Below are 14,117 nucleotides of genomic sequence, written 5' to 3' on the forward strand. Positions count from 1 at the left end.
TGGAAAGGGTGGTTAGATTGAAAGCTAAGGGGGCCCCAGTTGGGACACAGGGGAGAGAAAAACAAATCTAAAGAAATATATATAGCAACCAGTGTGTTACCAATACTTACTATTCATTTATTCACCCAATAAATATTAAGGATTCGTTGTGAATTTGGTCTGCTACCACGTGCCAAATAGAAGACCAAAAAGAATAAGCAGGGACCTGGTAACCTTTTTGGAGAGAAAGTATGAAAACAAATGGCCATTACGCCAGTGGGACAGGACAGGAGTCACGAGAGATGCATTAAGGAAGGAGAGAGACCAGGTCCAAGTGCAGCAATCAGGAAAAGCTTCCTGGAAGTGGGGATAAATGAGCTGATTCTGTAGGAATAGGTAAGAATTAGATTTATGGGAATAGAGAAGGCAGGAGAATATTCTGGGCTACAGGAACTACAAGAATTGTTTACCCAGTTTGGCTAAAGCATGGGCCTGGGGAAGGGAGGGAAGAGAATAGAAAATAAGGTTGAGAAGGAAGATGGGGGCTGGCTGGTGCAGGAACCTTTGAGGCCAAAGCAGGTTGGATTTTTCCTCTCTGTGGACAAACAGAACATTTGAAGATTTCTGGACAGTTTAGTGTAAGGCAGATGACGCTGGCAGCAATAGGGAGGGTAGGTGAGCAGTGGAGCTGTGGTGCACAACTTTATGGGACATACTGGATGGGCAGCACTCAGCCTTCGAGGCCCTGTAAGAGGGAAGGGAAGAGCTAGGAGGCTCCTGCATGGATCTTTAGGGTATACCTAAGACACTGGCAGGGCCATCAGTACTGGACTTGAAAAGAACATGATAAAGCTAGCCAAGATACAGTTAACAGAATCTGGCACTGATTAGATGTGAAAGGCAAGAAAAAGAGAGGCACTGAAACTAGTTCTGAGTTTGAGAGAAAAGGGAGATAGTGGTGTGGTACTGGCAGCACTCAAAGTACACACACAATAGGGTCCGAATGGAATCACAAACACATAGCCAAAGCTTGCAGTACATGGCTCTCTCCCCATGGACCTGGATGTCCTGATTGGCAAGTTCCATGTCTTCAGAGCCTAGCCTGGAACCTAGCACAAAGCAGGCATATAGTCAGAAGGAAAAAAAGGAAGGAAGGAGAAAGGAAATGAATAAATGAATGAATTGGATGAGGGCAGCTCCTAGGTCCTGCAGGAAGAATTCCTACACTGAAGAATATTTCAGGACCTTTGTGTCACCTCCTGGGTTGGAAGGGTTCTAGTGATGGCTGTAGACAAAGAACTGTGTCATCCATACAATGGGGGAAGATGGGGAAGAGTAGAAGGTGGAAGGTCCTGAATGGAAAAGAGAGATATGTGGGCAAGTAAACACCATGTTAAAGTTGAGAATTTACGTGATCACTGCTTATGATATAGGGATGCACTGAATCCCCAAGAAATTAAGGTCAGTCTTATTAATAATGATGTGTTGAAGGGAAGTCCTCCTTGTTCTTTTACCACAGGGGAAGAGAAGAAAACCTAAGGCTCCACAGGGCTGCTGGGAACCACCTGTGGTTTCTCTCTCTCTCTTTTTTCTCGTTGTTCACATAGCTCTTCTTATATAGCCTCGTATTATGGTTATGTGTAATTATTTCTACTATAGCTCCCCCCGAGGAACACTTCTTAGCCTTCTTTGTATTTAGAACTAATACTGAGCTGTGAGCATTGGTAGAACTAAACCAGTTATTAAAATTTAGAAACACTTATGTTTGAGCTACTACCCCGGGGACCATTCCAAATGCCTCTTTTTTTTTTTTTTTTTTTTTTTTTGAGATGGAGTCTCACCCTGTTACCCAGGCTGGAGTGCAGTGGCGCCATCTTGGCTCACTGCAACTTCCGCCTCTTAGGTTCACGCGATTCTCCTGCCTCAGCCTCCTGAGTAGCTGGGATTATAAGTGCCCGCCACCATACCCGGCTAATTTTTGTATTTTTAGTAGAGATAGGGTTTCACCATGTTGGCCAGGTTGGTCTTGAACTCCTGGCCTCAAGGGATCCACCCACCTAGGCCTCCCAAAGTTCTGGGATTACAGGCATGAGCCATCACACCCGGCCTTCCAAGTGCCTTTCTGATGCCTCAGCCACACCAGCACCTCCCTGGGACCTCCCTGTGATCTGCCAACTAAAGGGGTAGCACCTGGCAGAGGTGGGGTGTTCCTGCACTCTAGCCAGCATGATACGCTGTCCCGATGGTTAAGTATTTTGGTTGTCATCTCTGCTGTATCCTTCTCAGCTTCCATCAACCCTTTGTTGGCTGACTTCACCTGTCCTGAAATATTCAGCTGTAGTCTCCTCTCCCTACCACACCCACTTCCCTCTGAAAACTCACCAGGCTGGGCCGACAGCACCTGGCAGTGCGGATAAGGGCATGGCCTGCCCTCTGCGGTGTCAGAACTCCATTCAGAAGGCCCCTCCCCAGGTGGATGTGGTTCCAGGGGCTGGCGAGGAGTCAGGCACAACCACACTGGCTGTGAATTTGAGTAACAGGGGCCTGGGGTTTCTGGTAGCAGCCTCTTGTCCAGGCCTGGAGGTCCACAGATCAAGGGGTGTGCCTCTGGGGACCAAGGATATGCCACACTGGGGGTGTAATGGGGAAAAATCTGGCAAGCTGGGTGCACAGTTGCATCCTGGGGCCGAGAGCCAGGGGTGGGCTCGGAGGGACCCCCCCGCCTTTTCCTCTGTGGGTGTCGGGCAGAGAGGCTGGATTTTTGCAAGTTGAACAGACTGCTGGTACTGGGGCAGATGCTGGAGGCGTCAACTGGGCCAGGGGCTGGCTCAGGGAGGGCCCTGGGGCACTGTGGGTTAGAGAGCCGCCCCGAAGGGGCTGCTGAGTTGGATCTGGTGACTTGCTGATCAGGAGAAGGTGGCTCTGGCTGGGGCTGTGTCCGAGGAATAGGAGGCCTGGACTGGGGGACTCCGGTTTCTGGGCCAGGCTTCCTGCCATGCCACTGGAACCGCTTTTTGTAGTGGTGGTGCCGGTGGCGGTGGTAGTGGACATGGCTGGAAACCTGGGTTTCCCCTGTGGGCACCACCGAGTCCAAGGAACGAGGCCGAGAGGTCACACTAGGCTGCATGTCCACTCGCTGGGGATCCCCTTTAGGGCTGCAGTACACTAGGGGGTCAAAGTCACTGCTTAGGGAGCTGCAGAAAGTAGAACTGCTGCCATGGACCCCCTGTAGGCTGATGTCCGTGCAGTTGACCACAGAGTCACTGGAAGAGCCATGACAGGGCCCTGAGCTGGAGTCACTGGCTGGCCCATCTGCCAGGTACCCACTGCGTTCTGTGCAATAGCTTTCTCCAGATCCACTGCTGTCAGGGGGCCTGGCCCGGCGTAGGGGCACTGGGCAAGCAGCAGGGTGCTGTGAGGTGGATTGGAGGTGGCTCAGTCCCCAGCCTTGTGCATAGGGGTGCTGGGCTCCTGCCAGGCGCTGCTGCTCTCCTGGAGCCCGGGGATGTGCAGCTCTGGGGAAGCGGTGATGCCGAGGGCCCATGCCTGGCTCCTGGGATGGCAGGAAGGGACCAGGTCGTGGGGGCCGAGCCACTGCACTCCGGGAAGGGCCCAACAGGTAGGCAGCAGGGAGGTGGTAGTGGGCATGGCCGGGATGCTGGCGAATGAGGTGGAGTCTTCGACCTGGTTCTTGGTAAGATCGAGAGGGTCCCAGGGACTGGGAAAATGAATCTCCCTCTGGAAAAAAGAACCAAGAGCACAGATGTTTAACTCTACAAACCTACAGAGAATGCATTCAGAAAGACATGGCTGTAGCTAATCTATTTGACCCTGAGTAGCCTGTGAGCTCAGAGTTTGGGGGATCAAGGACGTGCCTAAGCTGCCTGTGCTCTGGGACTCCTTTGTTCCCTCCAGTCAGGTTGCCTGCCCTGGGAGGGCCACTATGCGTGTCAATCCCTAAACCTCCCCTCAGCCATTTGGAGCTCTTTCACCCAGGGCCACTGTTAGCCCATAGGGCACCTGTGGGTACCTTAGAAAAAGGTTCTCTTTCCTCAAGATATTTATTTCACTTTCATCTTTTAGAAAATTATGTTAACATACTGATTTTGTTAGAATAGAATATTTTATTGCCAGAAAATTGGAATAATAAACATATAAATCACCCAGATTTAGAATCAACAAACTTGCCATGAAATACAAATAATTTTTACAATAATAAAGATTATCTACGGCCGGGCGCGGTGGCTCATGCCTGTAATCCCAGCACTTGGGAGGACAAGGCGGGCGGGTCACAAGGTCAGGAGATCGAGACCATCCTGGCTAACATGGTGAAACCCTGTCTCTACTAAAAGTCCAAAAAAAAAAAAAATTAGCTGGGCATGGTGGCGGGCGCCTATAGTCCCAGCTACTCCGGAGGCTGAGGCAGGAGAATGGCGTGAACCTGGGAGGCGGAGCTTGCAGTGAGCCAAGATCGCGCCACTGCACTCCAGCCTGGGCGACAGAGCGAGACTCCAACTCAAAAAATAATAATAATAATAATAATAATAAAGATATCTACATGCCAGGCACGGTGGCTCACGCCTGTAATCCCAGCACTTTGGGAGGCCAAGGTAGGCAGATCACCTGAGGTCAGCAGTTTGAGACCAGCCTGACCAACATGGAGAAACCCCGTCTCTACTAAAAATACAAAATTAGCCAGGCATGGTGGCGCATGCCTGTAATCTCAGCTACTCGGGAGGCTGAGGCAGGAGAATCGCTTGAACCCAGGAGGAGGAGGTTGCGGTGAACCGAGATCACGCCATTGCACTCCAGCCTGGGCAATGAGAGTGAAACTCCGTCTCAAAAAATAAAAATTAAAATTAAAAAATAAATAAATAAAGATATTTACATTTTGAATGACGCTTCCCCTCGAGTGAGGCACTCTGGAGCAGTGTACAGCCCATACAACTATGGTGGCAGTTCTGCTTTCTCCCCAGCTTCAAGGCTGCAACCCTTTCCCAAAGGGAAGCCACATTCTAGACCTGTCTGCCTACACAGAGGGGAGTCCTTGGCCCACCTCCTACCTGTGATGTTGAACATGCAGAGGGGGCAAGTCCGATGCTGATGTAACCAGGGGTCCACACAGTTACGATGGAACTCATGGAGGCAGGAAATGACCCGTAGCTCCTGGAGAAAAAGAGGGGGTCCAAACCAAAGGCTTCTGTAGCCATAGGAATTGCCAGGAATCAGGACATCCCCCAACTCCCTTAGGCCTCTCCTTGCTATTATCTACTTGTAAAAGACCTCACAGTAGAATAGGAATGGTATGAGCTTTGGCATCACATAGACCTGGATTTTGCACTTAGCTGCATGACGTTGGGCAACTTTCTTAACAGACAGTTTTCTGCTGTAAAATGAAGATAAAAAAATGAATCTAACCCCACCCTTCATTGCCATGGGTCTAAAATGAGATAATGCATCCAAAGCACCACTGCAGCCTGGCACGTGGTACACTCTCAACAAACAATAGTGCTCTTTCACTGGAAGGTCAGAAAAGTGACCAAACTTCAGGCTGGTCCCTGATCTCTGCCTCATGCAGGACACATGGGAAACAGATGTAGCCAGGGTACCCATACCAGCCCCTAGGCCTGCCCACCCCTCCCCCAGCTTCAATCTCCCCAGTCTGGTCATGGAGGTGAACCACAAGACCTGCCTTACCTGCCCCTCAGAGAACTCCTCCAGACAGATGGCACACACAGGGGCTGAGCTGCAGCTGCTCCCTGAGTCTGGCCACTCACCCCGGGCCTGCCTGCAGCTGGCCTGGTACCTCCTGGTGGCCAGCTGGCTGATGGCCCAGGCTGTTCTCTGCTGAAGCGGATCCTGGGAAGAGGAATGGGGCTCAGATTGGGGCATGGGCTCCCCTTCCCTCCCTCTCTGGACCCAAGCTTGGACTCCGTTCCCAGTCACTCAGGTAGATCACATGGCCAGTTGAACATCCTTAGGAGTTCGTCTCCTCGGAGCTCATATGTGGCTCTGCCAAGCATGCCAAGCTCTCCCAGTCCACCCACCTGCTTATACCATTAGCTTTTCTTCCTTTGATGACCCATGAGAGAAACTTTTTATCCAACCGCTGCTTGACATTTCAACTTGGATATCTAATAAGCATTTCAAACTTATAGGCCTCATCTTATTAACCATGGGTTCATCTCCAACCACATACCTGTCTTCCCCGTCTTCCCCATTATAGCAAATGGCAATTCCATTCTCTTAATTGCTCAGGCCAAAAATCTTGGTGCCGTCCTTGAGTCCTCTCATATCCCACAATCAATCCATTACTAAATCTGTTGGCTTTGCCTTCAAAATATACCCAGAGCCTAACTATTGCTCACCATTTTAACTGCCGCCTTCCTAATCCAAGCTACCATTACTGTCACCTGGATTCCTGCAATAGCCTCTTAGATGGTTTCTCTGTTTCCAGCTTTGCCTCCCTGTAGTCTATTCTCATTACAACAGCAGGAATGATCATATTAAAACTTCAGTCAGATCGTGATGCCCTTTCTCTCACAACACTCCAGTGGCTCCTGTTTCACCCACAGTAAAAAACAAATGGCCTCAACAGTCCAATACAACGGGGCCCCCACCAGCTACTCTGCCGTCTCACTCTGTTCCAGCCACAGCCTTCATGCTGTTCCTCAGATACACTAGACACATTTCTGCCTTAAGGCCTTTGCATTTACTGTTCTCTCTGCCTAGATCCCTTTCTCCTCAGATACCTGCACAGATCACTCCCTCTCCCATTTAGGGTCTTTGCTGCAATGCCATCTTCTCAATGTGGCCTTCTCTGGACTTGCTTTTAAAAATTAACCCTGTTAATTTTTACTAAAAATACAAAAATTAGTAGCTCCCAGCTACTCGCGAGACTGAGGCAGGAGAATTGCTTGAACCCAGGAGGCAGAGATTGCAGTGAGCCGAGATCACGCCACTGCATTCCACCCTGGGCGACAGAGCAAGACTCTGTCTCAAAACAAACAAACAAACAAACAAACAAAAAAAAACCTTGTTCCCTTGCATTCCCTCCCTCCCCACTTTGCTATCAGCATTATCATTTTTTCTCCGTAGTACATATCACCATCTAAAACATTATAGATTTTACTTATTTAGTCTGTTTATTGTCTGTTTTTTCCCTCTAGAATAAAAAAGCTCTTTGAGGGTAGGAGTTTTTTGTCATCTTGTTCACTGTACTACCCTCAGCACCTGGAACAGTGCCTGACACATAATAGAGCTTGGTGTATTTGTTGAATGGATGAGTAATATGAGGAGAGGCTGCTGGAAATCAACAAAGACAGACGCTGGGGTATTTTGATGTAAATGGTTCCATAGGTATAAAGGTGCCTTCTTCACGTACTCCTTCCTTCTCCCTAACCACCCACCCACACACACGCACACGTTCACCGCCGCCAAAGACCCCACACTGCTCACCGGCCTGCTGTGGCGGGGGCGGCACCGGATGCGCAGCACCGAAGCCAGGATGATCACAAAGATGGTGCCCACCACTGTCATTAGGATCCACACATCATAATCTGGCTGGGGAGTGAGCAGAGAGGGAAAGGGTCATACTTCCGGGATGAGCTGGGTCAATTCGGGAGGAAACACAGGAGCCCGGGAGGCACATAGCTAACTGGAGGTTCCCTTGAGTCCTCCATCTGAGGGGATGGAGAGGAACCTGCAAGTGGGATTAGGTGGGCCCTCCCTGCCCAAGGGCACTCAGAGAGGATCTTCCAGATGTCACTGGGAGAAGTACTATCTCAAAACCCATGTGCTTGGGGAAAAAAGAGAAAGGGACCCCTCTGCAAGGTGGGAGTTTCTTGCCAGTGAGCCGCTGGATGAGGTTCTTGGCCAGTAGAGAAGCCCCAATCAGGGGTCATGGATCAGGGGACCAGGGTTTCATTCTAGCTCTGCTATTCCATGCCATGAAGCCACAGAGCTGTAAAGAACTTTAGAACTCATCTGTCCTGATCTGTTCATTCTGTAGGTGAGGCCCAAAGACGGGGGAAAACTTGCCCAGAGGCACACAGCTGATGGATGAAGTTGGACTAGAGGGTTTCCAGGATCTCTCGCAGCTCCAGGAGTCTAAGGGCTTTTGGTGGGAGTTGCCACAGGACAAAGTAGGGCTAAGTGCAGGGCAAGGTCTGGAGGTCTAGTGTGCTTACCCAGGCCGGGGGCTCCTTCAGCTCAATCCTCACATGGGCCTTTTGGTTCTTGTACACAAACTCCATCAGCTTCTCAGCGTCATTACCCCAGATCAACACCACTGGCCAGGTCAGCCCCAGCGGCTGCTGCAGCTACAGGGGGAAAGTGCCCACAGGGCTGCTGTGACTTCTCCCTGCCCTTCCCTCTCCCCTGAGAGCTTTATCTTCCTCCATCCAGCCCCCACCTTGAACACGCAAATGTCCCTGGGTACCTGCTCAGCAGCAGCTCGATCCTCAGTGATGTCAAAGAGGACAGCACTGGCTCCTCGCTCACCCGCCATCCGAGCCTGCAGAGGCACACAGTAGAGGTTGGGCTGAGGTCAGGGAAGGACAGAGCCCACCCACAGGCTAGCCTCACCCCTCACACATCTATCCCTTCCTAGGATTATGCCCACAGCACATCTTTGCACACTCACATCTACCTATGCAAGGGGTCACTGGGTCTAAGATCTCCTCTTCTGCCTCCTGAGCTCACTCAGGTCCCCACTGCCTTCAAGGGATAATATCTAGCTTTTCCTTTTGTAATGGAACAAACCCTTAAGGGGGGTTTACAGGGTGCCAGGTGGTGGACCTGGCTCTAGGATGAAAGACAAATAAGACACAGCTCCTGCCCTCAGGGTACAATCAGCCTGCCTTCACTAAGAGGTATGAGCACGAAGAGTAGGAGGGACCTGCACCCCTTAGAAGGAGAAGAGAGAGGAAGAAGGGGACAGCAGAGAAGTAGAGCTCTCCTTCAGAGGGAGCTGGGCTTTCCAGGGCCCAGTCCTGCCTGCAGGGCATCTCCCCAGCTCAGGCAAAGGTCTAAGAGCCTGGGACGCCACTCTCACGCAAGGCCACCATCACAAAGCCCCTGTCTCAGCTCATCTCATGGGCTCCCTCTCCTTGCCACACTCTACTTTGCCAAGTCTTTCTCTGGCTCCAATTCAAGGACTTAGAGGAGTCCTTGTCCAGTGGTTTATCCTTTCGTCCCCTCCCTTAGGGTGGCATTAGAGACAAAAGTGGGGAGGGATTCAAGGGGCTAGTCCCATATGGTGAGTATGCACACGTGCATGTTCACCAAGGGCTCCAAGAGTCAGCTTGAGGAAGCAGAATCTAGCCAACCAGGCAGAACAGATAGCAGTGCCAGAAAGAGAACAAAAAGCAGGAATCCAGGGGGTGTGTGTAGGGAGGGGAGTAAGGAAAGGGAGATAAGAGCTAAAGGTCGGGGGAGGCGGGAGGCACAACAGCAAACAACTAACAGGCACTGTGAGGAGCTGCTCCTGGGCTTGGCCTGGGGCCTCCCGGCCTAGCACAGCCACCCTCCAGCCTTCCTCCCTAGGGCAAAGGTTCATCTTCTAATGGCATCAGGCTGTGATTTTACATCCCTGGGCACCGCCCCCCCTCACCCCCAAAGTCTCTGGGGTCTTCCCACAGGCATTGAAGGAGTTAACCCTCCTGCAAGTAGTGGTGGCAGCAAGAAGAGCCAGCGCTGGGACTTACTCACAGGCTCAGCACTTTGATCTCTGCCTGTCTTCCCAGGGAGAGCCTGTCAGGGCAGGTCTCCTGCCAGGCAGGCTGGGAGCAGCTCCTTTCCTTGCTCCAGCTCTCTGTTCTCCACTCCCCAGACAGCAGCAAGGCCCAGGGGGCCACTCAGAACCCACTGCCTGCAGGCAGAGGAGACACTCAAGCGGGGCCCTGTTTTGGTCAGGAAGGTAACTTTCCTTCCTCCCCCAGGAGCTAGGCCCAGCCTAGGGCCCAGGCTTACCAGGCTAATTGACTAGAAATTCACAGGACCAGTCAATTCCAGAATGGAAGTGCTGAAGGAGTTGAGAGGTTCATGGCTTCCATCTTCCCTACTCACTTCCTCCCATCTAAGCTACTCCAGGCAGGTAGAGACTTTCCAATCTTCAGAACCCTCCTAACAAGGGTAAGGGAGAAGTACCAGGGGAAAAGGAATCCCTGGTAGGGAACCCTACTGGTGATCTCCTATTCCAGGGATTTGGCCAAGGACAGGAGAGGTCACCCCAGTAGTCACAGAATTGGGACTCCCAGGCCTCAGTTTTCACACCCCTAGAACAAGACCCTGGACCCACCCTGGCCTGGAAGAGCATGAGGAAGGGCAAAGACTTTCTTCTTTGGAGATTTTGTTATTTCCCCTCCCCTCTCTCTTTGAAGAATTGGGGTAGGAACAGTGGAAGGCAATTACTGTGACATTCAAACACTCCAGCCCATTACAGCCCATAATTACAAAGTTGTAAAAGTGATCAAAGAGCCCAGAGCACTGGCCAACAGGGGAAAACAAACAGGACTTTCAGACAGTGAGTCCCTGTGTCCAGAATTCTAGGAATAAAAAGCAAGATTTGGGGACAGATAGCAGTCCAATCTAGGGCTATCTATGCCTCTTGTCCACCTGCCCCCAAGAAAGTAAGTGGAGGCAAAAAGGAAAAAAGTACTTATTTGGGTACTGGAATTTGGAAAGCAGAGAGAGGATAGGCAGGCCCTCAGGACAGGAAGGCAGTTTTAGAAAGAATCCAAAGAGCTCTTTGGAAGCTTCAGAGTTGGCCAGCCCTAGGGGCAGCAGGCAAGGCTGCCACAGCCTCTAGCAACAGGAGCCATTACAGAGAGAGCAATGAGAGTGAGTTGCAATTCTGCCTCTTACTTGCAGGACTCACTGGTCAGCTGCTGCATTTCTCTGGGCCTTAGATTTTCTTCTCCAGACAAGAGTCCCTGTATATCTTCTGCTCATCAAAAATGAAGCACCTACCGTGCCCAGGGCACCAAGCCATAGAAGGCCAGGCCCTCCAAAACAGCTCATAATATAGTTGTGGAGACAAGGCACATACATGAAGCTATAACGCTGATAATATTCTAAAGCACAAAGGAATAGAAACGGAAGCTTCCAGACCTTTTTTCACTCCAGAAGGCTCTCCCCTCTACTATCCCCTCCACCAACACACATACACACAATCTGGCACAAATGTTCAATATAGAAAGCAGATAAAAGTGAGGCTGCTTACTTTGAGGTAGGGGTGGGGACAGGAAGGACCTTCAGCCTCTCCCCTCCACGCACCAGGTGCGTCCCTGAAACCTGGACTTAGCAGAAGATGGTGTTGAAAGCATGCACAGACACCCTACCCTCTGGAGGCATGCCCCCAGGGAGGGATTTCTGCTCCTACTGGGCTGGCTGGGCCTGGGCTGGTCAGGAAAGATTCAGTAGCAAAGGTGGGATTCCTCTGGGCTTGAAAGTTAAGGGTGAAAGGAAGGAGAAGGAATATAACCTTTATTGAGATCCAGTGCCCAGATTGCCTAGGGGTGAATCCTGGCTCTGATACCAACTATTAGCTGTGAGACTTGGGTCAAGTCACTTCACTACTCTGTGTCTGTTGTTTTTTTCTGTAAACTGGGATAATAACAGGACCTAGTCCATAGGGTTGTTATGAGGACTACATAAACGAATCCACACAAAGCATTTATAATAGTGCCTGGCACGGGGTGTTGCTTAAGCATTAGTTATTATTATATCAACTATTATAATTATAATTATTATTTTTGAGACAGAGTCTCACTCTGTTGCCCAGGCTGGAGTGCAGGGGCGCAATCTCAGCTCACTGCAGTTTCCGCCTCCCGGGTTCAAGAGATTCTCCTGCCTCAGCCTCCTGAGTAGCTGGGATTACAGGCATACACCACAAGGCCCGGCTAATTTTTTTTTTTTTTTTTTTTGAGACGGAGTCTCGCTCTGTCACCAGGCTAGAGTGCAGTGGTGTGTGGTGTGATCTCGGCTCACTGCAACTGCCGCCTCCTGGGTTCAAGCGATTCTCCTGTCTCAGCCTCCTCAGTAGCTGGGACTACAGGTGCGTGCCACCACGCCTGGCTAATTTTTGTATTTTTAGTAGAGATGAGGTTTCACCATGTTGGCCAGGCTGGTCTTAAACTCCTGACCTCGTGATCCACCTGCCTCAGCCTCTGAAAGTGCTGGGATTACCACACCTGGTATGAGCCACCACACCTGGTCCTTATATCAACTATTATTAATACTATGTGTTTCCGACATGTGATTTCATTTACTCCTCAAAACTCTATAAGATAGTCATCAGCCCCACTTTTGAGGTGGGAAACTGAGGCTCAGAGGAACTGAATAATTTGCCCAGGGTCACCAACTGAGAAGCAGTGGAGGCAGAATTTGCACCCAGGACCTCAGCCTTCAGATTGCCTGTTCTTTACTACCAGGTAGTGGCCTCCATGGTAAGAGAGGCAGGGCTTGCACCCATCTGCTTTTCTCCAGATCTAGCTCCTTCTAGCAGGCAAAAGGCCACTGCACTAGTTCAGGCATGAGGTGATAAGGCTCTGGCTTATCACCAGGATGGCTGTGGAGCTGCTAATAAAGAAACAGAAACCAATCTGGGTGACTGGACAGAGGGTGGAGGGGATAGTGGGGTGGTGACAAGAATGGAAGCCTCCAGAAGAATTATGGTGAGGGTTTCAGAAAAGAATAAGCGAGATAACAAATGGAAGGAAAAATACCGCAACCTTGTTAACTACAAAAGCACGGAATGATGATGCCAGTGATGATGATAGTAATGATAATTGCAATCATTTATTGAGTGGTTACCATGTACGTGGCATGGGGCTAAAAACTTCCATCTGTACTGTCTCATTAAATCCTCCTAACTACTTACAAGTCCCATTATTATTCCCCTTTTACAGATGAGGAAATAGAGGCTGGCTTAGAGAGGTGAGCTAAAAAAGTCCAGGTCACACTGAGGGGCAGTGGAGGAGTCAGGCTGCAAGCCCAGGGCTATCTGGCTTGAGAGCCCCAGCTCTGTCATTGGTGACAACACCATTGACACCAACAGGAAAAGCCAAAGCAGAGAGCAGAGCTGCAGGGGTCAGTGGTTTCCAAACTCTCCCTCCCCTAAGACCCCATCTTTCCCTTAGACCTCTCATGAGTCACATTTTAAGAAAAACAGATGTTCGGCTGGGTGCAGTGGCTCATGCCTGTAATCCCAGCATTTTGGGAGGCCGAGGCAGGCAGAACTCTGGAGGTCAGGAGTTTGAGACCAGCCTGGCCAACATGGTGAAACCCTGTCTCTACTAAAAATACAAAAATTAGCCAGGCGTGGTGGTGGGCACCTGTAATCCCAGCTACTTGGGAGGCTGAGGTAGAGAATTGCTTGAACCCTGGAGGCGGAGGTTGCAGTGAGCTGAGACCACGCCACTGCACTCCAGCCTGGGCAACAGAGCGAGACTCCATCTCGTTAAAAAAAAAAAAAATTAGCTGGGTATGGTGGCACATAACTGAAATCCCAGCTACTCAGGAGGCTGAGGCAGGAGAATCACTTGAACCTGGGAGGCAGAGGTTGCAGTGAGCCGAGATGGAGCCACTGCACTCCAGCCTGGGCAACAGAGCAAGACTCTGTCTCAAAAAAAAAAAAAAAGAAAAAAGAAAAACAGATGTTCTACCAAACTAACTATATTTATTACTTACAATTTATTTTCTCATGAGATAACTTGTATTAACATGTTGAACTAACAGAATTCCAACCAAAACAAAACCAAGTACTTGAGGTAAGCCCGTGGAACCTCTGAAATATTGCAGGTAGCTCAAAGACTCATAGGAGTCACAGGCAAAGGTCTAGAGGTCCTGTGAGGTAGCAGGCCAGGGTGCAACAGGCAAAAGAGAAGGCCCACAGCTGTGGAAAGGGGGCAGCCCCAGCCCAGCTCCCACCAATAGCAGCAAAGCTTCTCGGAATCCTTCTTCCCCATCTCTCTCTCTCATACACACACACACACACACACACACGCACACACACACACACTCACTATGTAATGCAGTACAGGCACTGGGAACTTGTTTACCAAATGAATAAATGAGTGACATTTGCCCATATTTTGTAAGGAAAGAGAAATGAAACATCCAGAAGTAGGGCAGGC

The 14,117-nt window shown here is 50.3% G+C and overlaps 1 protein-coding gene across 8 annotated transcripts in view; it reads right to left on the reverse strand.

The window, feature by feature from the left end:
- Positions 1 to 14,117, reverse strand: part of RNF43 (ring finger protein 43) — a 65,035-nt gene that overhangs the window by 2,607 nt on the left and 48,311 nt on the right. For 5 of the 8 annotated variants that reach the window (XM_047436332.1, NM_001438822.1, NM_001305544.3 and 2 more), the window contains 6 exons: positions 8,420 to 8,494; positions 8,169 to 8,300; positions 7,438 to 7,542; positions 5,677 to 5,838; positions 5,043 to 5,145; positions 2,362 to 3,717 (listed from right to left, as the gene is read on the reverse strand). In XM_047436332.1, coding sequence (XP_047292288.1) covers positions 2,362 to 3,717; positions 5,043 to 5,145; positions 5,677 to 5,838; positions 7,438 to 7,542; positions 8,169 to 8,300; positions 8,420 to 8,494 — 1,933 coding nt within the window. Of the gene's footprint in view, positions 1 to 92; positions 3,718 to 5,042; positions 5,146 to 5,676; positions 5,839 to 7,437; positions 7,543 to 8,168; positions 8,301 to 8,419; positions 8,495 to 14,117 lie in introns of those variants that run through there. The other 3 variants (NM_001438820.1, NM_001438821.1, NM_001437987.1) reach the window with 1 other exon arrangement.

This window comes from Homo sapiens, chromosome 17 (genome assembly GCF_000001405.40).
Source record: "Homo sapiens chromosome 17, GRCh38.p14 Primary Assembly".
Classification (NCBI taxonomy): Eukaryota; Metazoa; Chordata; class Mammalia; order Primates; family Hominidae; genus Homo; species Homo sapiens.